General features: G+C 44.0%; 1 protein-coding gene and 1 long non-coding RNA gene across 3 annotated transcripts in view, besides 3 other annotated features; one reads left to right on the top strand and one right to left on the bottom strand.

Annotated features, from left to right (window-relative positions):
- Positions 1-23,289, top strand: part of OSBPL1A (oxysterol binding protein like 1A) — a 235,780-nt gene that overhangs the window by 12,568 nt on the left and 199,923 nt on the right. For both annotated transcript variants that reach the window (XM_017025530.2, NM_080597.4), the window contains exons 2-4: positions 7,722-7,844; positions 16,885-16,970; positions 18,291-18,365. In XM_017025530.2, the coding sequence (XP_016881019.1) occupies positions 7,722-7,844; positions 16,885-16,970; positions 18,291-18,365 (284 nt within the window). The remainder of the gene's footprint in view (positions 1-7,721; positions 7,845-16,884; positions 16,971-18,290; positions 18,366-23,289) is intronic.
- The window catches only part of LOC124904268 (uncharacterized), a 42,640-nt gene that overhangs the window by 17,459 nt on the left and 1,892 nt on the right, over positions 1-23,289 (bottom strand). The window lies entirely within an intron of this gene.
- Positions 142-642: an enhancer, noted in NCBI's record as "H3K4me1 hESC enhancer chr18:21964579-21965079 (GRCh37/hg19 assembly coordinates)". NCBI's record gives its function as "activates a minimal SCP1, AML or CMV promoter by ChIP-STARR-seq in primed H9 embryonic stem cells {active_cell/tissue: H9 hESC(primed)}" and the evidence as "EXISTENCE:reporter gene assay evidence [ECO:0000049][PMID:30033119]".
- Positions 643-1,143: an enhancer, noted in NCBI's record as "H3K4me1 hESC enhancer chr18:21964078-21964578 (GRCh37/hg19 assembly coordinates)". NCBI's record gives its function as "activates a minimal SCP1, AML or CMV promoter by ChIP-STARR-seq in primed H9 embryonic stem cells {active_cell/tissue: H9 hESC(primed)}" and the evidence as "EXISTENCE:reporter gene assay evidence [ECO:0000049][PMID:30033119]".
- Positions 6,318-6,612: a silencer, noted in NCBI's record as "tiled region #8214; K562 Repressive non-DNase unmatched - State 22:ReprW". NCBI's record gives its function as "represses a minimal TATA promoter and a strong SV40 promoter by Sharpr-MPRA in K562 cells {active_cell/tissue: K562}" and the evidence as "EXISTENCE:reporter gene assay evidence [ECO:0000049][PMID:27701403]".

Here is a 23,289-nt window from a genome sequence, read left to right as displayed (position 1 = left end):
ACAGGCCGGGTGCGGTGGCTCATGCCTGTAATCCCAGCACTTTGGGAGGCCGGGGCGGGCGGATCATGAGGTCAGGAGATAGAGACCATCCTGGCTAACACAGTGAAACCCTGTCTCTACTAAAAATACAAAAAATTAGCCGGGTGTGGTGGCGGGCGCCTGTAGTCCCAGCTACTTGGGAGGCTGAGGCAGGAGAATGGCGTGAACCCGGGAGGCGGAGCTTGCAGTGAGTCGAGATTGTGCCACTGCACTCCAGCCTGGCCAACAGAGCAAGACTCCATCTCAAAAAAAAAAAAAAATTCTAACCTATAACTGCTTTCTTGTACTTAAACTGTTATTGATTAACTACTTTCTTTTTCTTTCTTTTTTCTTTTTTTTTTTTCCGAGACAGTTTCACTCTTGTCGCCGAGGCTGGGGTGCAATGGCGCGTTCTCGGCTCACTGCAACCTCTGCCTGCCTCCCAGGTTCAAGCGATTCTCCTGCCTCAGCCTCTCAAGTAGCTGGGATTACAGGGGCCCACCACCACGCTTGGCTAATTTTTGTATTTTTAGTAGAGACGGGGTTTCACCATGTTGGCCACGCTGGTCCGGAACTCCTGACCTCAGGTGATCCGCCCATCTTGGCCTCGCAAAGTGCTGGGATGACAGGCATGAGCCACCCGCCCCCGGCCCTTTTGTTTGTTTGTTTCTGAGACAGGATCTCGCTCTGTCACCCAGGCTGGAGTGCTGTGGCATGATCTCAGCTCACTGTAACCTCCCGGGTTCAAGTGATTCTTGTGCCTCAGCCTCCCAAGTCGCTGGGACTACAGGCATGTGCCACCACCCGTGGCTAATTTTTGTATTTTTAGTAGAGACAGGGTTTCCCCATGTTGGCCAGGCTGGCCTCCAACTCCTGACCTCAACTGATCTGCCCACCTTGGCCTCCCAAAGTGCCGGGATTACAGGTGTGAGATACCACGCCCAGTCTGCTAGTTTCTTATTGAACATCTTCATCTCTGTTTCCCACAGGAATCTCAAATTCACCACAACCAAATAGAGTCACATCTTCACTCATGTTGTTTATTTTCTATCCCATATATTGGTTAATCTCCCTGTTATGTATCTGGTGTCCAAGGAATTTTGTTCACCCCTGTGATCTTGGTGAACTTCTTATTCAAGTACCAGTTTACATTTTTCTTTCTCTGTATCTAATCACTAATGTTGGCAGAGAGCTAGCCACTCCCCTTCTCCTCTGTGCAGCCACTGTTCTGTGTACATTGCTGTACTTGACACATGTTGTTGTGGTTGTCGTTTGCATGTTTGCCCTGTTCTGGAGGGCAGGGACCATCTTATCCATCATGGTACCTCCAGTGCCTATAACAGCCCCTATTATCAGTAGATACTCAAGAAACATTTGTTGAGTCAATTTTAGTTTCAATCCCAGCATTTATGAGTAACTATTATGGTTTATATATTATAATGGACTGTTTAAGTAGATAATAGATTTCTTTATTTATTCATTTTTTGAGACGGAGTCTTGCCCTGTCACCAGGCTGGAGTGCAGTGGCACGATCTCAGCTCATTGCAACCTCCGCCTCCTAGGTTCAAGCAATTCTCTTGCCTCAGCCTCCCGAGTAGCTGGGACTACAGGTGAGTCACCATGTCCAGCTCATTTTTGTATTTTTAGTAGAGATGGAGTTTCACCATGTTGGGCAGGATCAAGTTGATCTTTTGACCTTGTGATCCGCCTGTGTTGACCTCCCAAAGTGCTGGGATTACAGGCGTGAGCCAAGGCACCCGGCCCAATAGATTTATTTTTATCCTTTTCATATTTATTGTACAGAACTTGAGAATTTTTTTAATCTTTTTTTCTGTAAGCCCAATATAGTAAGAATCCAAGGAAAATGTTATAAAAAACTTCTTGTATGTTTTGAAGATACTTCAAACATTTTTTGATTCATTCTTTAAAGGCATGAAAAGAATATTAAACCTTTTGTGTAATATGCCAGCAAGTCTAGACCATCACTCCTTGTTTAATGTACATGATTGAAAATATATTTAAAAATCCCCTGTGATAAATGCCTTATTAATTAGACATGAAGCTTTTTTGTTTTTATCTTTAATAACTTAACATTTTCCAGTTATAAAATGCCTTTATAGTGTAGGAAATTTGGAAAATACAAATAACCAAAGAAGACATTTAAAACCATTCATAATTTCACCACAGGAGTAACCACTGTTGACATCCTGATATCTTTTCCCTCTGTTTCTCTGCCGATATTTAGCAAATATATATAGAGCTTAATCTATATAAGTACCATCTGTCCTAACAATATATTGCAATTTCATAGTTTTATAAATTATTTAAACATTTTTTTCTTTTTCTTTCATTTACTATTTTTTTTGAAACAGGGTCTCACTCTCACCCAGGCTAAAGTGCAGTGGCGTGATCTCAGCTCACTGCAGTCTCAACTTCCTGAGCTCAGGTGATCCTTCCACCTCAGCCTCTCAGGTAGCGGAGACTACAGGCGCGCACCACCATGCCTGGCTTAATTTTTGTATTTTTGTAGAGATGGGGTTTTACCATGTTGCCCAGGCTGGTCTTGATCTCCTGGACTGGAGATCCACCCACCTCGGCCTCCCAAAGTGCTGAGCCGTTGCCCCCAGCTTCTTCTATAATATATTTTTATTAAAAAAAATTTTTTTGAGACGGAGTCTCTGTTACACAGGCTGGAGTGCAGTGGCATGATCTTGGCTAACTGCAGCCTCGACCTCCTGGGCTTAAGTGATCCTCCTACCTCAGCCTCTCCAATGGCTGGGACTACAGGCTCACACCACTATGCCCAGCAAATTTTTTTTTTTTTTTTTTTTTGAGACGGAGTCTCACTCTGTTGCCCAGGCTAGAGTGCGGTGGCACAATCTCAGCTCACTGCAAGCTCTGCCTCCTGGGTTCACGCCCTTCTCCTGCCTCAGACTCCTGAGTAGCTGGGACTACAGGCGCCTGCCACCACGCCTGGCTAAATTTTTTTTTTTTTTTTTTTTTTAGTAGAGACGTTTTCACCATGTTGGCCAGGATGGTCTCGAACTCCTGACCTCGTGATCCACTTGCCTTGGCCTCCCAAAGTGCTGGGATTACAGGCATGAGCCACTGCGCCCAGCCTCATGCCTAGCTGATTTTTTGTATTTTTATAGATATAGGGTCTCACCATGTTGCCAGGCTGGGTCTTCTGTAATATTTTTAATGGTTTCATAGTATTAGGTGAATGAACCTTTATTGACGGATCTTTAATTTTTTGTTCTTTCTTTCTTTCTTTTTTTGAGGTGGAGTCTCCCTCTGTTGCCCAGTCTGGAGTGCAGTGGTGTGATCTCTACTCACTGCAACCTCTGCCTCCCGGGTTCAAGCGATTCTCCTGCCTCAGCCTCCTGAGTAGCTGGTTTTACAGGCGCCCACCACCACGCCTGCCTAATTTTTGTATTTTTAGTAGAGATGGAGTTTTTTTGCCATGTTGGCCAGGCTGGGCTCGAACTCCTGACCTCAAGTGATCTGCCCTCCTCGGCCTCCCAAAGTGCTGGGATTACAAGAGTGAGCAACTGTGCCTGGTCCTGATTTTTTTTCTTTATAAATAATGCTACAATGAATATAAATATTGCTAACATTTTAAAAATATTAGATATTTTAACAGGTGAATGAATGCAGAGGGGATTAATATAAAAGCTGATTAGCAAACTGAAGAAAGGGCATTACAATCACTGTTAGATGAAGTTCCCCCAGAAATTTACTCTGAAAATAAGATTCTGAGTCATGACAGAGATTCTTTACTTGGCCAAACTTTAATCAGACTTCTGAACCTTCTGTTAGGTCCATCTGTGCACTTCCTTGTAAAATCCGGTTTTAGCAAGAACCCTCCACCCTTGATATCTGATCAGGTTCCTCATCTTCCACCATCCCCCAGGTGGTGTCTGACCACCCTGGCCTGTCTTCAGCAACAACCCTGTTAGTTTGGTTTACCCAGAATCCCCTTTGCCCCTGATGTTTCCTCTGAGTACTTTTCCACCCACTGACCCTGACCCTACTCCTTGGCTATAATCCCACTTGTCCTTGCTGTATTCAGAGTTGAGCTCAAGCTCTCTTCCCCACTGCAGGACTCTCTTGCAGTGGTCCTTGTAACTACCACGGGGGTCCTGAATAAAGTCTTTCCTTTCATGCTTTAACGAGTATCACTGAATAATTTTTTCTTTAAACAGCCTGAGCCTGGGTTTGGCTTCCTGCAGAGTTTATAAGAGCTTTTTACTTTTTCTTTTTTCTTTTCTTTTTTTTTTTTTTTTGAGATGGAATTTTGCTCTTATTGCCCGGGCTGGAGTGAAGTGGCACAATCTCAGCTCACTGCAACCTCCGCCTCCTGGGTTCAAGTGATTCTCCTGCCTTGGCCTCCCAAGTAGCTGGGATTACAGGCATGTGCCACCATGCCTGGCTAATTTTTTTGCATTTAGTAGAGACGGGGTTTCACCATGTTGATCAGACTGGTCTCGAACTCCTGACCTCAGGTGATAGACCCGCCTCAGTCTCCCAAAGTGTTGGGATTACAGGCGTGAGCCACCGCTCCCAGCCTGTAAGAGCTCTTTCAAAGGGAAGCTACTGAGCGAGGCCTTGTGCGAGCACTGGAAACAGGCCTTAGCCAGGCTGGTGGCTTGGTAGGGCTATAGAAGGGACCAGATGTGGGATCCTGGATCCAGGAATTTGTTGGGGGATTAGGCTGCTCTTCACTTTCTGCCTCTGAGCTCACAGGTATTTCTGAGGTGTGGGTGAAAGGAGAACACTTCTGAGGGGTGGAATTAGGACCCTCAGCTGGACATGCAGCAAAACATCCTTAGCGTGTGGGCCAGATAAACCAAATATGGATAAGAGCTAGGCCAGGCCCACAGCTAGATATCAGGGGTTTCCCCTCACTCTGGGGATTCCTTTGCTAGTTTTCTGTTTCTAATGTCTTTGCTAATGTCTTCCTCTTCCTTGGTTTTTTAATTTTGGTGAGCTACACCCCTGGTGGCTTCCTGAGAAGTGTTGCATGGGAAATAAATTTACATACTGGTATATTTTAAAATGTCCTTATTCTACTCCTACTTTTGATTGGCTGGTTATAGAATTGGGGATTGGAAATAATTTTCCTCCAGAACTTTTAGGTATTGCTTTGTTGTCTTTTGGATGCTTATGTTGTGATAGAGAAGTCAAAATCATTCTGATTCCTGCTCTTTTGTTTATTACCTGATATCTTTTGTTACCAAAGTTCTAAAATTTCATGATGATGTGCTTTCATAGGTTCTATTTTGTCTGTAGATCAGAAATCTTCCAGAATTGTTGGGCTCTCATTAGGCCTTTCAATGCTGTAAGACTTCCTTAAATTCTTTTTTTTAAGACGGTGTCTTGCTCTGTTTCCCAGGCTGGAGTGCAGTGGCGTGATCTCAGCTCACTGCAACCTCTGCCTCCCAGGTTCAAGCGATTCTCCTGCCTCAGCCTCCCGATATAGCTGGGACTACAGGCCTCCCCTACCACACCTGGCTAAATTTTTTTTTTTTATTTTTAGTAGAGATGAGGTTTCACCGTATTAGGCTGGTCTCAAACTCCTGGCCTCAAGTGATCCTACCACCTCGGCCTGCCAAATAAATTCTTTATTTTCTCTGTCTCTCTGTTTTCTTTTTTTAGAACTTCGTTTCAATGTTTGACCTCCTGGACCAATTCTCTTAACATTCTTTTTTTTTTTTTTGAGACCAAGTCTCACTCTGTCACCCAGGCTGGAGTGCAGTGGCATGATCTCAGCTTACTGCAACCTCCACCTCCCAGGTTCAAGTGATTCTCCTGCCTCAGCCTCCTGAGTAGATGGGGTTACAGGTGTGCACCAGCAGACCCAACTAATTTTTGTGTTTTTAGTAGAGTTGGGGTTTCACCATGTTGTCCAGGCTGGTCTTGAACTCCTGGGCTCAAGTGGTCCACCCGCCTCGGCCTCTCAAAGTGCTGGAATTACAGGCATGAGCCACTGTGCCTGGCCAACATTCATCTTTTATCTCCCATTTTCTTAACATTTTATTTTCTAGGAGATATTCTCAACTTATTTTCCAACTCTTTTATTGAAGTTTTAATTTTTGCTATTTTTATTTCCAAAGTTCTTTTTCTCAAGCTTTATTTTTTTTTAATAGCATCTTGTTTTTGTTACAGGACAGAATGTCATTTATTATCTAAGGATATTAGTTATTATTTTTTAACATTTTCTTTGATACCTTGTTTTCTCTAGGTTGCTTTTCTTCCCTGTTTGGTTTTGGTCTTTGTCTTTCATGTTTAAGAGTGGGGAGCTAGAAAGTTGATTGAAAACTGAGAGAGTGGGTGGGCCCTGTTGACTGCTAACTTCATTGTAAGGTTTGCCTGGCTTGACCACTTGCTGGGACCTCCTGGTGTCTCTCTTGTACTTTAGGGAATATAACCAGCTAAGTCTCATAGAGGGTAAAGCCTGGCTTGCCTGCATAAGAAATGCCGATTAGGGCAAGAGGGCTGGAGACAAGCTGTTTGCTCTGCTCTGTTTTGAAACCATGCCTTCAAAACCCATCCAGTCACCAGCCTATACAGCCCATCTCTTTTAGCCTCACTGGAAGATGTATTTAACCAGTCCCCTGTTGATGACATGGAGTGGTTTCTAACTTTTCCACTATTACAAATAATGTAATCTTTATAAGCATGGTTTCAAAATAATCTTGTATAAGATGACAGCAAAAGTGAGGGGAAAAATAAACATTGAAATAAAAATCTTGTGTAAATGTTTTTGCAGGATAGATTTCTAGAAATAGAGTTGCCTAGACAAAGTAAATGGTATATATGAATTTTGAAGTTTATTTGATATTGCCAAATTGCTGATCTCCACCTGTAATGTATGAAAGGTTGTATGCATTTATATTCATTTTAGCAGTCTACAGGAGTGCTATTTCCTGCCCATGCCAGCATTGTTTCTTGTCTTTTTTTATTTTTGCTAATTCAATGGGCATGAAAAATATCACTTGTGTTTGAATGATTTTTATTTATTTGATTATTAGTAAGAATGACATACTTCTGGGAATTGCTATTTGTAATATTTGCTCATTTTGACATAAATGCTTGAAATTTGGTTGTAATTTTCTATATTTGGTTTGGGGCTTGATAAGAAAATGTGACAGAAAAAATAAATTTGTTTACATATAGCCACTTCAGGGCATTTATCTATAATGAGTTTCTATTCAGAATGATTCTTTGCACAGTTTTGAATGTGTTAGTTTACATGTTAGTCTTACACTATTCCTATATGAATGGTCATATAGGAAATAAAGTCATACTTTGACTTTATCTCTAATTTTGTTTTTTCCTTTTATGTCTAATTTTTAATGTAATAACTATTTGCATAATACTATGTATTTGACAGAATGCTTTCACATACATAATCTTACAACAAACAGCTTATGCGGTTGGTTGTATTCTGCAGATGAGGAAACTAAGGCCTTAAGAAGTTAAGAGACTTGCCCAAGTGTCTCCTGTACTGCTTCAATAATAATAGGAAGGGCAAGGGGTCTCAGGCTCAAGTTCTCACCCTGCAACGGATTTATTCAGTTGTTGTGTCTGTCTTATCAGCTGCAAAATGAGGATTCTTTCCCCTTTCTGTATTAGCAGGTGATATCTAAAAGCTAATTATGTTCTTAAATAATAGCAATGTTATTATTTTCTTAATTTAGAAATGAACACAGAAGCGGAGCAACAGCTTCTCCATCACGCCAGAAATGGCAATGCTGAAGAAGTAAGACAACTATTAGAGACCATGGCGAGGAATGAAGTGATTGCTGACATTAATTGCAAAGGTAAACTTTGAATGGATTTTGTAGCTTTCTCTTATGAGTCTGCACTACTCTTAGCATTTATTTAATGCTAACCTTTCTTATCTATCATGTAATTAATCTCTATCTCTCATGCTAGGAAGAACCCCACAGATTGGAGGAAATGTCTCTCCTAGCCCCCTCTGAGTCAGAGAAAGTGACATAAGAATTTTAAATTCTTAAAATTGTTATGGATCCCAAATATTACAAGCCACAAGGGTGGCTCTAGCCCACAGGATACATCCTATTGAGAGGTGACAGCGTGCTGGCAGTCCTCACAGACCTCGCTCGCTTTCGGGCCTCCTCTGCCTGGGCTCCCACTTTGGCGGCACTTGAGGAGCCCTTCAGCCCATCGCTGCACTGTGGGAGCCCCTTTCTGTGCTGGCCAAGGCTGGAGCCGGCTCCCTCGGCTTGCAGGGAGGTGTGGAAGGAGAGGCGCTAGCGGGAACCAGGGCTGCGCGCGGCGTTTGCGGGCCGGCTGGAGTTCCGTGTGGGCGTGGGCGTGGGCTTGGTGGGCCCCGCACTGGGAGCAGCCGGCCGGCCCTGTCGGCCCCTGGCAATGAGGAGCTTAGCACCCGGGCCAGCGGCTGCGGAGGGTGTACTGGGTCCCCCAGCAGTGCCAGCCCACCGGCGCTGCGCTGGATCTCTCACCGGGCCTTAGCTGCCTTCCTGCGGGGCAGGGCTCAGGACCTGCAGTCGGCCATGCTTCAGCCTCCCACCCCCTCCATGGGCTCCTGTGCGGCCCAAGCCTCCTCGATGAGCACTGCCCCCTGCTCCACAGCGCCCAGTCCCATCCACCACCCAAGGGCTGAGGAGTGCGGGCGCATGGTGCAGGACTGGCAGGCAGCTCCACCTGCAGCCCCAGTGCGGGATCCACTGGGTGAAGCCAGCTGGGCTCCTGAGTCTGGTGGGGAGGTGGAGAACCTTTATGTCTAGCCCAGGGATTGTAAATACACCAATCGGCACTCTGTATCTAGCTCAAGGTTTATAAACACACCAATCAGCACCCTGCGTCTAGTTCAGGGTTTGTGAATGCACCAATCAATACTCTGTATCTAGCTACTCTGGTGGGGCCTTGGAGAACCTTTGTGTCCACACTCTGTATCTAGCTAACCTGGTGAGGATGTGGAGAACCTTTGTGTCTAACTCAGGGATTGTAAAGGTACCAATCAGCACCCTGTCAAAACAGACCACTCGGCTCTACCAGTCAGCAGGATGTGGGTGGGGCCAGACAAGAGAATAACAGCAGGCTGCCGGAGCCAGCAGTGGCAACTCGCTGGAGTCCCCTTCCACACTGTGGAAGCTTTGTTCTTTTGCTCTTCGCAATAAATCTTGCTACTGCTCACTCTTTGGGTCCACACTGCTTTTATGAGCTGTAACACTCACTGCGAAGGTCTGCAGCTTCACTCCTGAAGCCAGGGAGACCACGAGCCCACCGGGAGGAACAAACAACTCCAGACGCGCCGCCTTAAGAGCTGTAACACTCACCGCGAGGGTCCGCGGCTTCATTCTTGAAGTCAGTGAGACCAAGAACCCACCAATTCCAGATACACTATGATAATTTTTTTTTCTTCTTGAAGACATTGCAGTTGACCCAGCAGGTCTGAGTGTTTACTGTGTGTCTTGGAGATAATGATGAAGAGACACATGGGATCCCTGCCCTTATTGAGCTTAGTCTAGTAGATTAACAGATCAGACTAGTCTGCATTACAAAATAGGTACCAGGATCTGGAAGTGCAGGTGTCATGGGAGAGGTGTGAAACTGGAACTTGAAGGATTTGCTTCTTGGAGGAGACGATTCTAAGATGAAATGTGAAAGAGTAGGAGTTAACCAGGTGACGATAGAGAAGAAAAAATGGTTCAAGGAAGAAGAAACAACATAGCAGCCAAGTCATAATATGCCATGTGTAGCAAAGTGGCCAATACATCACAACCTTGCATCAAATGTGCAGAGAAATAAAACGTGTTCTCAAAATGGCTCTGGTATTGTAATAAACCTCTTCATGTTCTGGGAGGTATGGGGAGAGTAAACGTTAGTCTTTGGGTACTTCTGTCTTTTTTTTTTTTTTTTTTTTTTTTTTTTGAGACAGGGTTTTGTTCTGTTGCCCAGGCTGGAGTGCAGTGGCATGCTCACAGTTCATGGCAGCCTCAGACTTCTGGGCTCAAGCCTTTGTCCCACCTCAGCCTCCAGAGTAGTTGGGACTACAAGCACATGCCACCACGCCTGGCTAATTTTTGTATTTCTTGTAGAAACGGGATCTTGCTGTGTTCCCCAGGCTGGTCTTGAACTCCTGGTCTCAAGCGATCCTCTCATCTCAGCCTCCCAAAGTGTTGGGATTACAGGTGTGATCCATTGCATCTAGCCATACTTTTTTTAGTAGCCTTTTTGATAAAGTCTTGATCTCCCTTCCCCTGTGTTTCCTCTAGCTTGGTGTTTGAGTGTAGAGGTGAGACTTGCTGTGTGTTCGTGTGGTGGAGAGGCAGGTTTTCCTCGAATCTATGACTTGGCTTTGGGTCCTCAGCCACCCTTGTCTTCCTGGTGCTCCTTAAGCATTGGAAGCTGACGTGAAACTCAGGTAGAAAGTCAAACTCAGGTCTCTCAGTGTGTCGTGTGGCATAGGTAAGGCTCCTTGGCTGTATCAGGAGACTCTCATGTTGGCTTGTGTTACCCTCTGTCACATCTTCATCTGGCACCTGGCCTAGGCTTGCTGGTTCAATGCAGACACACTCCTGTTCCCTTCTTGGGAGAGTGGCATGTGGGAGCCAATGACATGGGGGAACCTAGAGCAGCTCTGGTTAGCCAAAATGCAGCCTTCCCTCAGGACACCTTACTGAGTCTGCTTTGATGTGGCATCTGGCAGGGGAGTGCTAAGATGGGCGATCTAGGGGGGGTCTTTTCCTGCATCCCGGAAGCAGCTTGCCTGTTCTCTATGTCTCCTCAATGTATCCCACTTTCCGAGTTTAAGATCCAGAGCCACGTGTCTCAGCTTTTGTCTTTTTTTCTTCCACAGTTCCTCAGTCCCAGAAAGGGCTGGCTTCAGGTGGATATTTTATTCTTTTTGCTACTTCCTCCTCCTGTACCAGGGCAGCAAACCTCATGACCTCACCCTCAGTGGGGAAGAAATAGCATCTTTGCAATAGGGAAGAAACTGTGATCTGAGGATCTGGGTTGTCTAGAAACTGAGGTGGTAAAAGGAATTTTAAAATATCTTTGTTATGGAGAATGATCTGAGGAAAAAATATTTAAAAAATAAAAAAATGTATAAAATTTCCCCCCATTCTTCAGCAAAGACTGGCTCTTTATCTTTACCTCAGGATTCTATTTTGAATGCCAAAACATTTGATCATCCTCAGTGACCCTTTTCTGTCTCCCCTTCCCACCTCCACCCATGTTTGCCTCAGGCTAATTAGGAGAAAGTCATCTACTTGGAAATGTAAAGCTGAGAAATATGTTAATATTTTTTTCAATTTTCACCTCATTATACCTGTCAGTCAGACTTTATCTTAAGGGCAGTTTGAAGGGTTGATGCAGAAGGTGACATAGTCAGATGATATGCAGTTCTTAAGGGAGTGGGGAGGGGTGGGCAAGACCAGGCGTGAATAGTGTTTCCATGTGGGGGGTTCCTTCCCGGCATTTCTTGGTTTTCTTTCCTTTCTTTCCTGTTTTTCCAAATAATGACAAATTGGGAAAATGGTATAAATTACTATAATTCTCCTGCAAGAATTAAAGGTTAACAGTCAACATAGAGATGTTACTGTTTGGAAGGAATTCACTGATGTCAAGTTGAAAGTGAGGGAAAGAAGGGCTGATGTGAGTGGAAAGTGAAGGTTAGTGTTTTTAGGGTCTGGGAGAGGAGGATAGAATTAGTTTTGCTTGTAGCTGGTGTTGTGTTACAAGTATGTGTTCATGGTCCTGTCTTGCTTGTGTGAGTCATTCTTGCAAATAAAATAAATATTAATACGTATATGCATAACATACTTTTTGTAAATTCTATGAGTGATGTTCCAAGAAATAATAAATTTTGGAAGCAACCTAAGTACTTATATTGGCAGTCTCAACACACAATTCTGTGTAGTGCTGTCACTTTACTAGGAGGTCCAAATGTGAAGTTATTCGAATATTCCCCAGTAATACCTGCTGGTATTTTAGTGTTTTAATATTATGTATAGTGTACTGTTCTTTGTAAATACTCCAAAGCTTGACATTTCTTATTCATTGAACACATCCTTTTAGATAAGTAGTTAAAGATACCTATAAGTAGTTAAACTTAAAATACTGTTTGAAGTATTTTAAGAGTAAATGTAGGATCTTGGAAATTTTTTTCTTTTTTTGAGACATAGTCTTGCTCTGTTGCCCAGGCTGGAGTGCAGGGTGCAATCTTGGCTCACTGCAACCTCCACCTCCTCTTGGGTTCAAGCGATTCTTGTGCCTCAGCCTCCCAAGTAGCTGGGACTACAGGCGCCCACCATCACACCAGGCTAATTTTTGTATTTTTAGTAGAGACAGGGTTTCACCATGTTGGCCAGGCTGGTCTCCAACTCCTGACCTCAAGTGATCTGCCCACTTTGGCCTCCCAAGGTGCTGGGATTACAGGTGTGAGCTGCAGTGCCTGACTGGATCTTGGAAATTTTGATTTCTTGATCCAGAATCCTATTTGGAAATACTAGATGTGAGGACACCAGGTCACAAGCTGTCAGAGGAAGTGAGAGGAGACAGTGTGGTTTGGATGGGGGCAGACGCAGTGGCAATGGAGAAAACTAGATGTAATGAATATTTAGGAGTTGGAGTCAGTCGAGCTAATTGAGTGTGGGGTGAAAAGGAGAAAGCAGGAAGGTGCTGCTGCTGTTGAGTGAGGAGGGGAATGAGGGGCCACCCATTGTGAATACACATGTGGGAGGGGCCTGGTGGTTCCTGCGAGTGTGTGTACGGAGGACGACAGGTGAGTTCAGCTTTGTGCTTTCTGAGCATTGAGGAACCCTTGCCCAGCCCAATGGAGATGTCTAGTGGACACTTTGGAGATGGAAATATGGATTTTGAAGTCAACAGCACAGAAACAATGGAAGCAGTGGAAGAGGGCCATGAAATACCTCTTTTTTTCTTTTTCTTTCTTTTTTTTTTTTTTGCGACAGCGTCTTGCTCTGTCACTCCGGCTGTAGTGCAGTGGTGTGATCATGGCTTACTGCAGCCTTGAACTCCCAGGCTCAAGTGATCCTCCCACCTCAGCCTCTGGAGTAGCTGGGATTACAGGTGTGCGCCACCACGCCTGGCTGATTTTTGTATTTTTTGTAGAAATAGGGTTTCACTACTTGCCCAGGCTCATCTTGAACTCCTGACCTCAATCAGTCTATCCGCCTTGGCCTCCCAAAGTGCTGGGATTACAGGTGTGAGCCACCATGCCCGGCTGAAGTACCATTTTTGAAGTTACCAGTAATGGAATAGTCGGGGAAAATAAATTTTCCAAAGGATATGGAAAAGTAGTGCCAGAGAAATGAGAGGACCCACAGGGTACAGGGCTGTGGCAGCTAGGGAAGAATGTGGCCATGCTGTCCTGTGATGCAGTGATGGCAGAAACCTGCCCCTGGGACCCAGTGACAGCATTTCTTGATAAAAATTGAAGATAGTGTTCATGACCTGGTGGGAGATGAGCCTCATCTGCAATGGGTGGGGGTTGACAGGAAGGAATGTTAGGTAGAAAGAGCCAGTGAAGAGTAGAATGGGGAGGGTGAGGGGTGCAGTAGCTGCCAGGGAGCACAGAGTAGGGAGGGTTTCATTTATGTTTCCTCTTTAGATGGGAGACACCAGAGTTCTTACTCCTTCCCATCAGCAACTAAAGGGGGAGAGGTTGAAGACAGGCAAAAAAGGAGGGCCTGAGAAGCAGGAAGGGATGGGCTCCAGGATCCAGAGAGAACGGTTAGTCTTAGACCTCGGGAGGAAAGTTTAGCAGAGTGCCTGTAGATATAGGTGGGATGGTTGATTTGGTGCTGGAAGCCCAGGGAATTCTATGAAAGCTGTTTTCTCTGTGAAGCTGAATATGTCATTTGCTAAGGTAGAGTTGTCTCGGTAAAAGGCTTGAGGAGACTAGTGAAGGACTGAATTACTTTTTGTTGGAATATATGAGAGATGCTTGGACAGGGCCTTATAGAAGTGCCTTCAGCTAGTGTGAGATCCTGAGTTTATGGTGTGTAAATCCACAGGGCTCTGTTGTTTTTCTTCACCGTTGGTTAGCGACCTGGGTGTGGTTATGGAGAAACTGGGCTCGTTGTACTTCTCAGGCTTTGGAGGTTTTTTAGGCTGCTGTGACAGATATTATAGTGAAGCCAGAATTTTCAGGATATGATAAACGTTGAAGTGAGGGATTAAAGAATAGACACTGAATTTATTGAAGGAAGTGAAGATGGAGGGTATTTACATATACATGAAAGTCATTAGGCCTGGTGCAGTGGCTCACCCCTGTAATCCCACCACTTTGGGAGGCTGAGGTTAGAGGATCACTTGAGCTCAGGAGTTTGAGACCAGCCTGGGCAACATGGCAAAACCCCATCCCTACAAAAGAATCCAAATATTAGCCAGGTGTGGTGGCGCATGCCTGTGGTCCCGGCTACTCGGGAGGCTGAGGTGGGAGAGTTGCTTGAGCCCAGGAGGTAAAGGCTGCAGTGAGATGTGATTGTGCCACTGCACTATAGCCTGGGTGATAGAGGGATACCCTTTCTTGAAAAAAGAAAATGATTAGAGCTGGGGGCTGGATAAGTTGAAAAGAAAGTCTGGGGGATAGCTGTGTGGACAGGCTGGGAAGTTGGGAGTGCTTGGGAAAGTGGCTTTCTGTGTTCTGAGTCCAGGGGTGATGATGGCGCCCAGGCTGTGGCTCTGGCAGTGGGTCCCTGACCTTAAACAGAGGCACAGTTTGTGAGAAATGAGGGAAGCTGAGAAAGTGAGAGACCAGGGTGCTGAATAGGCAGTTGACCCCCTGAGGATGGTGGCAGGATTTGCAACGGGGTGAAAGAATATGCTGCCCAAAGTTATTTGGTGAGGGGCAGGCCACTGGGAGGCTGGCAGATGGCAGCAGAGAAGGCATGCACAAGAGCTTTGGCTTAATGACAGAAGCCTCAAAGGAGGAGCTGTGATGTGAGTGGAGAAGTCATCAACTAAAGGCAGTAGTGGGTTTTTTGTTGTTGTTTTGAGACAGTGTCTCGCTTTGTTGTCCAGGCTGGAATGCAGCGGTGCAGTCACAGATCATTGAAGCCTTGACCTCTTGGGCTCTGGTGATCCTCCGCCTTAGCCTCTGGAGTAGCTGAGACTGCAGGTGTGCACCACCAGGCCTGGCTAATTTTTTAATTCTCTGTAGAGATGGGGTTTCTCTATGTTGCCCAGTCTGGTCTTGAACTCCTGGGCTCAAGCAGTCCGCCATCCTTGGCCTCCTAAAATGCTGGCATTACAGGCATGAGCCACCATGCTCGGCCAGCAGTGGGAGTTTTGATGTGGAGGTTCACACGACTTCTGTTCAGTGAGGGACAGGGGGGATGGGGGACCCCACCTGAAGAATAAGGGGGAGATCCTTATCAGGATGAGCTAGGTTTCACTAAGAACAGAAAGCAAAAGATAGGTTCAGTGAAAGAGACTGAGGCTCTGGGATTTATTGACTGTGTAATTAGGGGTTCCACAGGACACACACTTGAGAGGAAACAGATGTAGGAGTTTGGGTAAATGGCAAACAATCCCAGGGACACTGCTGGCAGCTGCAGTCCCTTGGAGGGTTGTTAGAGGCCTGTTGTGGGTGTGCTGAGGTTGTTGGCTGAGGTTTCTGTGGGTTCAGATCCTGGAATCCAGGAGCTGAGGGCAGTGTATCATGTAAGTGAGGTACTGCTATCTACAGTAGCTGTGAAACCATCGCTCTTTCCCTGCAGTGGCCCCTGGAATAACATGTTCTTGGGCTGTAACAGCCCCATCAAGGCAGGTGACTTTGGGATTTGATAGGGCTGTATTTGCTACAGTCTGATTGGGAATTTTGGGAAGCTTTTGGGCTTCCTCAGCTCTAAATAGTGCTCTGAATATCTTTTTTGCTAAATTGAATCTGTGATTTTAGTTTTTGCAACACTCAGTTGTTTATGTCTTTCCTCAGCTCTACTCCTAAGATCTGACACTTCATTGTCTTTAACTTCGGTCCTCTCTTTCACCTTGGCAACCCAATATCCTCATTAACTGAGACTTTATCTGAAGTCAAAGACTCCACTTTCAGGCACTATCTGTAGAGTTCACAGCTTTCCAAATCGTATTAGTCCATTTTCACACTGCTATAAAGAACTACCTGAGACTGAGTAATTTATGAAGAAAAGAGACTTAATTGACTCACAGTTACTCAGGCTTACCAGGAAGCTTGACAGGGAGGCCTCAGGAAACAACCACACACTTTCAGAGAGTTCCTGAGAACTCACTCACTGTCACGAGAATAGCAAGAGGGAAATCCGCCCCTATGATCCAATCACCTCCCACCAGGCCCCTGCTCCAATTCAACATGAGATATGGGTGGGGACAAATCCAAACCACATCACAGGTGCTGCAGGAACTATCCTTTACTGACTCTTGATGTGGTACAGGTGTACAGAGAGTTGCTGTGAGCTGCCTTCAGCTCCTCCATACCCTCCTGATACAGGTTTTCAAAGAGAGTTGCTTGTCGTGAACTATGTCAATAAAACCCCTCTTGACCTGATGATGGCAAGATGATTAAAGACTCGGAGCCCTAGAGTCAAGAAGCTGCTAGAGATCATCTAGCTCGAATGTAACCCCCGTCCTGTCTCCCTCTATCCCTTTAGAGGTGAAGACATCGAGTCAGAAGGTGGCACCAGATCTGCACCTTGTGAGTTCTCGTCCTTTACACCCATTACACTTCTTGGTCACATATCTTGCCTCTCACTTATCAGCAATGCATTGCAAAGGAGATTATTGAGGTAGCTTGTTATGGAGAAGTTAATTTCGTTGTAAAATTACCTAAATATGACCTAAAAATACCTTATATTTTTCCATTTTTAGGAAGAAGTAAGTCTAACTTGGGCTGGACACCTCTACATCTGGCATGCTATTTTGGACACAGACAAGTGGTCCAGGATCTGTTGAAGGTCTATTTATGACTTTAATTTTTAATGACTACAGTAAATATTATTGTTATGGAAATTTTAAGATGAAAGTCTTAGAAAAGCCACCTGAGCCATAATGACTTATTTAAAGCAATAGTTCATCATTCAAGACACTTAATTGTTCTTTATTAAATAAATACATGAATTAGGTTAGCCTGATTAATTAAAATTGTATGTTTAATCATTAGATTTTTTTATTACTAGCTTTTAAAAATAATAAAAGTAGGCATATTAATGAAGATTTTATTTTCAGTTCTGAGTGTGACAGTTGAAAAAATAACCAAAGCACACCCTAAATAATTAAAAAATAATGTCAATACACAAATAAAAATTAAAAAGAAAAAACAATGTCACAATCTCTTAGCACTGTATTTAAAGAGAATTGAGAGCTCATATTTCTTAATTCTATGATGAATAACTTCTCACATTCTGATAGTTCTGAAATTTGCTTGCATCTTACAATTCATCTGTACATTTAAATAATGGCATCTTTTTTCCTCAAAACTTATTAAATTGATAAAGGAGGAAATGTGGTATTTCATTCAGAGATCATTCTCCTTTTTTCAATATGACTGCTTCTAAAGTAGAGTGAAGGTGTATGGATTTTTTTTTTTTTTTTTTTAATCAAGACAAGGCCTCACTTTGTCACCCAGGCTGGAGTGCAGTGGCGTAATCTCGGCTCACTGCAGCCTTGACCTCCCAGGTTCAAGTGATCCTCCTGCCTCAGTCCCCCAAATACTGGAGCTATAGGCACGTGCCTCCACACCTGGCTAATGTTTTTCTATTTTTTGTAGAGACGGACTTTCACCATGTTGCCCAGGCTGGTCTCAAACTCCTGAGCACAAGCAATCCGCCCACGTCAGCCTCCCAAAGTGCTAGGATTACAGGTGTGAGCCACTGCGCCTGGCCAAGGTGTATAGATTTTTAGTGAAAAGTACCTTTTTACTTTTTATTTTTCTACCTATCAGGTAGATTTTTACCTTTCAGAAAACCTACCATATATACACTACTATATGTGTACATATATATATATATATATAAGATGGAGTCTCGCTATAGTGCCAGACTGGCCTTGAACTCCTGGGCTCAGATGATTCTCCTGCCTCAGCCTCCCAAGTAGCTGGGACTATGGGCTCAAACCACCGTGCTGGCTTTTTATTGTTACTTTAAATTTAATTTATTGTTAGTACTGACACCTAAACAATATTAACAATTTTAATTTTTTAAGGCCTTAATATATTTTGAAGGAATGATTTTCACCATTGTATATTTCTTGGTATTTAAAGTGGTCATGTTTACTAGGCTGGTGCAGAAGTGAATGTGTTGAATGACATGGGAGACACGCCGCTTCATCGAGCTGCCTTTACAGGACGAAAGGTGAAAATCATTCTATGTTCAATGTTTGTAAGTGAGGTATTTGGAGGAGTAGTTACCATTGTTTTCTCTGTTATAACCATCTGACCAGCAACCGAAGAAAGCCACACAAAAAAATGTATACACCAGCACTTTGGGTCAAAAGGCCACAGGATCTTTGAGTCTGACAGTGAGGTCCAGTACTAAGGTCATGGAGACCCCCACTCTGTAGCATCCCTGTGAGGAGATCATTCCGTTTCTGCTTGTGTACTCCAGCAATGGGGAACTCCTGATTATTCTTTTTTTTAAAAAAAAAATAGCTTCATTGAGGTATAACTTACATTGCATAAACTTCACCTGTGATATTGTGAAATATATATTTGGTCTTTGACCTTGTACACTAAAGATGTACAAAAAGATGGCTGGCAACCCCTAGGTGGCTTCAGGATGGGGGCTGGTCACCAGAAAGACCAAGGCAGGACTAGGGGGTTGGGACTTTCAGCCGAACTTTGCAACCTCCAGGGAGGGTAGAGGGGCTGAAGGGGAAATGGCTCGCTAATGGCCAGTGGTTTCATCAATCATGCCTATTTAATGGAACCTCCATAAAAACCTGAAAGGACAGGGTTCTAGGAGCTCCTGGGTAGCTGAACACGTGGAGGTTCTTGAATGATCACACCCAGGGAGGGCATGGGTGCTCTGTGCCCTTCCTCCATGCCTTGCCCTATGTATCTCTTCATCTGTATCCTTTGTAATAAAGCAGTAAACATGTTTTCCTGAGTTTTGTGGGCTGCTCTAGCAAATTAATGGAACCCAAACAGGGAGTCATGGGAACCCTAATTTAAAGACCATCAGTCAGAAGCTCTGGAGGTCTGGACCTGCAGCTGGTGTCTGAGGGGTGGGGAGAAGTGCTGGGACTGAGCCCTCACCTGTGGGATTAATGCTATCTCTGGGTAGATAGTGTTGGAATTGAATTGAAGGACACATAGCTGGTATTTGCTGCAGAACTAATTGCTTGCTTGGTGGTGGGGAGAACTGCCCCCACCCATATTTGGTCACAGAAGTCTTTAGTGTTACTTGCTGTAGTAGGAGAGCAGAGGAAAAGCATAATTTGATCACATATTGTAAGTGTGCATTTTAGTGATTTTTATACATTTACAAAATTGTGCAACATCACCAAAATCCAGTTTTAGAACATTTCTGTCACCCCAGAAGTTTCCTCATGCCTGTTTATATTCATCCCCTTCCCCTTTCCCATGCCCCAGGGTACCACTGAATTGTTTCCTTTCTCTAGATATTAGATATTTGCCTTTCCTAAACTTTTTTTTTTTTTTTGAGACCGAGTCTTGCTCTGTCGCCCAGGTTGGAGTGCAGTGGTGTGATATTGATTCACTGCAACTTCTGTCTCCCGGGTTCAAGCAATTCTCCTGCCTTAGCCTCCCAAGTAGCTGGGATTACAGGCACCCGCCACCATGCCCAGATAATTTTGGATTTTTAGTAGAGATGGGGTTTCACCATGTTGGCCAGGCTGGTCTCGAACTCCTGACCTTAGAGGATCCACCCACCTCAGCCTCCCAAAATGCTAGGATTACAAGCGTGAGCCACCGCACTCGGCCTAAACATTTCTTGTAAACAGTATCATACAAACTTTTGTGTCTGGCTTCTTTAATTTAGCATAATGTCGTTGAGGTTCATCCATGCTGTAGCATGTATCAGTAGTTTGGTCTTTTTTATGGCTGAATATTCCACTGTATGGATACACCATCTTTTGTTATCTGTTCAAGTTTTATTGAAAAGACTATCTTTTTGCATTGTATTGCCTAGATACCTTTGCTGGAAATCAGTTGACCATAATTTAAATGTTTCTGGATTTTTTTTTTTTTTTTTTTTTTTGTTGTTGTTTTTTGAGACAGGGTCTCGCTCTTTCACCCAGGCTGCAGGGCAGTGGCACAGTCTCAGCTCACTGCAGCCTCCGCCTCCCAGGCTCAGGTGATCTTCCCCTCTCAGCCTCCTGAGAAGCTGGAACTACAGGTGTGTGCCACCATACCTGGCTAATTTCTTGTATTTTTAGTAGAGACGGGGTTTCTCCATGTTGCCCAGGCTGGTCTCCAACTCCTAGGCCACCCACCTCGGTCTCTCAGAGTGTCGGGATTACAGGCATGAGCCACCATTCCTGGCCTGAAGTTTTCAACATAGAGATCTTGCAGTCCTTTTCTTAAATGTATTAACCAGCCTGGCTTTAATCTGTGGAATCTGGACTGAGTCTGGCCAGCTAATATATCTGCTGAGTTAAAAAAAAAAAATTAAAAAAAAATTGTTTGTTTGTTTTAGAGACAAGTCTCACTATATTGCCTAGGCTGGACTTGAACTCCTGAGCTCAAGTGATCTTCCTACCTCAGCCTCTTGAGTAGCTGGGACTGTAGGCATGCACAACTGTGCCTGGCTTTCAGCATAGTATTTTAGGATTCATGCCTGCATCTGTGTAGCCTAGTGGTGAGCCTGTATTTGAGCAGCAGTGGGCTCCATTACTCAATCCCCTTAGGCTTCTGTGCTCTGCCCTGGATCTATGTGTAGGCTGGAGAGTGCTTTCAGAGTCCAGGCATTTCTCGCTTCTTCCTCTGCTCTGACTTTTGCAAGGCCCCCTCTCCTTTCTCCTGCAAATGTGTGGAGTTTCCCAGCAGCCTGGGGTACCTGGGAAGCTCACCTACTCCTACTCCAGTTCTTTTGTTTTCAGGGTTGTCTCATTAAGTTTTAGGCTGTTTTGCCATTTGCCTGTGTGGTAGGCAGAATCATGGCCCTCCAAAGACATCCACATCCTAATCCCCCAAAACTTGTAAATATGTTAGATTACACAGCAAGGGGAAGTTAAAGTTGCAGATGGAGTTGAGATTGCTCATCAGCTAACCTTAAGGTAGGAAAATTATTTTGGATTATCTCGGTGGGCCCATTGTAATCACAGGTGTCCTTAGAAGTGTAAGAGAGGCTGGACACAGTGGCTCACGCCTGTAATCTCAGCACTTTGGGAGGCCAAGGTGGAAGGATCACTTGAGCACGGGAGTTTGAGACCAGCCTGGGCAACATAGGGAGAATCCCATCTCTAAAAAAAAAAAATTGCCTGGTGTGGTGGTGTGCATCTGTAGTCCCAACTGCTCGGGAGGCTGAGGTTGGAGGATCACTTGAGCCGGGGAGGTCGAGGCTGAAGTGAGCCATGATTTCACCACTGCACTCTAGCCTGGGTGACACAGGGAGACCCTATAAGAAAGAAAGAAAGATAGAAAGGAAGGAAGGAAGGGAAAAGAAAAGAAATAGCTGGATGTGGTGGCATACTCCTGTAATCCCAGCTACTCGGGAGGCTGAGGCAGGAGAATCACTTGAACCCAGCAGGCAGAGGTTGCAGTGAGCCAAGATTGTGCCACTGTATTCCAGCCTGGACAACACAGCGAGATTCTATCTCAAAAAAAAAAAAAAAAAGGAAAAAAAGAAAAAGAAAGAAGTGTAATAAGAGGGAAATGTGCTTATGAGAGATTCGTCAGAGAGATACGGTGTTTCTGCCTTAGAAACTGCAGGAAAGGGGGCTGTGAGCCAAGGAAGGTGGACAGTCTCTAGCAACGGGAAAAGCAAGGAAATGAATTCTCCCCTAGAGCCCTTGCAACACCTTGATTTTTCCCAACAAGACCTATTCTGGACTTCTCAAATACAGAACTGTGAGGTAACACATTTCTTTCTGTTGTTTTAAGCCACCGAGTTTGTGGTCATTTGTTATAGCAGCGGTAGAAAGCTAGACACTCTAATAGAAAAAGCAGCCTCATGCTAGCAAGCATGTAGGTGTTCTCATTTGTTTTCTGCTGTATTTGCTACTTTTACTGGGTTTTTGCCTTTTGTTTTAAATCAAGTCATTTCCCTCTGGCAGCAAAACTGCTGGGTTTCACTGCCAGGCCTGCCCTGGTCAGACTTGTTTGGGGAGGTGGGGAGGACTAATAGCCTGTGGCTAGAAAGCTAAAGACTCCCAGTGTTCTTCCTCCAAGTTCCTGCCATTCCTCTGGAGTAACTGCCTCTCAGTTTGTTTCTTTAATGGATATCCAGCACCACAAAATGGTTAGTTTTGACAATTTTGTCCAGCTTTATGCTCATTTTTTCAGGATAACAGTTGTCTTATCCTTTCATAGCTAAAAGTTGCTTTACCCCATATTAATGTTTTTTTGATTATTTAAATGATATGCAAAATTAACTATGACATAGAGTGTATTTCTTGTATATTCTAGTTGTTGACCATAGTCCAACATGATACCTAAAGGTTATTTCGTAAGCACGTGATTGGAAGCTTTATGTGAATTTATCATGAGTTAAAGAACAAATTTATTATTATATTGTTTCACACTTTTCATTATTCTAATGACTAGATTTAACTAACTTTTAATACGTTACCATGAGTCAATTCTGTATGTGCTAAGCATGTTTGAATTAGTACATTTTATACCACTCTTGTCTATTTGTTCATAAATTGATACTTGTGAACCAGATATGGAGTCTTAACTCAAGCTGAGAAAAAAGAACCTTTTATAATAAACAATAAAGGTTGTGGTTAATTTCTATGCTTGACTTTGTGGGGTTTCAAATATGAGCTGCAGATGGCTCGATTTGCCTGACTACGTGAACTACTTGCTGTTTTTTTTTATGGTCTTGCTCATTCTTTTCTATATACCTAAGAAAATTCTATTGTCATCTATTTCTACATGGCCCAGATCTACCCATTCAAAGTGCTACTCAAATGTAATATCCATAAATTCTTTCCTAACATCTTGCAGCTGGAAGGAAACTATACTCTTCCAGGATTCCTGGGCACAGTACAGCACTTTCATTCGTCTTCTACCTTGTATTAGTGTTATTTTTGTCTATGTCTTTTTTTTTTTTTTTTTTTTTTTGAGATGGAGTCTCCCATTGTCACCCAGGC

The sequence above is a fragment of the Homo sapiens genome, chromosome 18, assembly GCF_000001405.40.
Source record: "Homo sapiens chromosome 18, GRCh38.p14 Primary Assembly".
Classification (NCBI taxonomy): Eukaryota; Metazoa; Chordata; class Mammalia; order Primates; family Hominidae; genus Homo; species Homo sapiens.
Note: the sequence above shows the minus strand (reverse complement) of the source record. Positions and strands in the feature narration are given on the sequence as shown.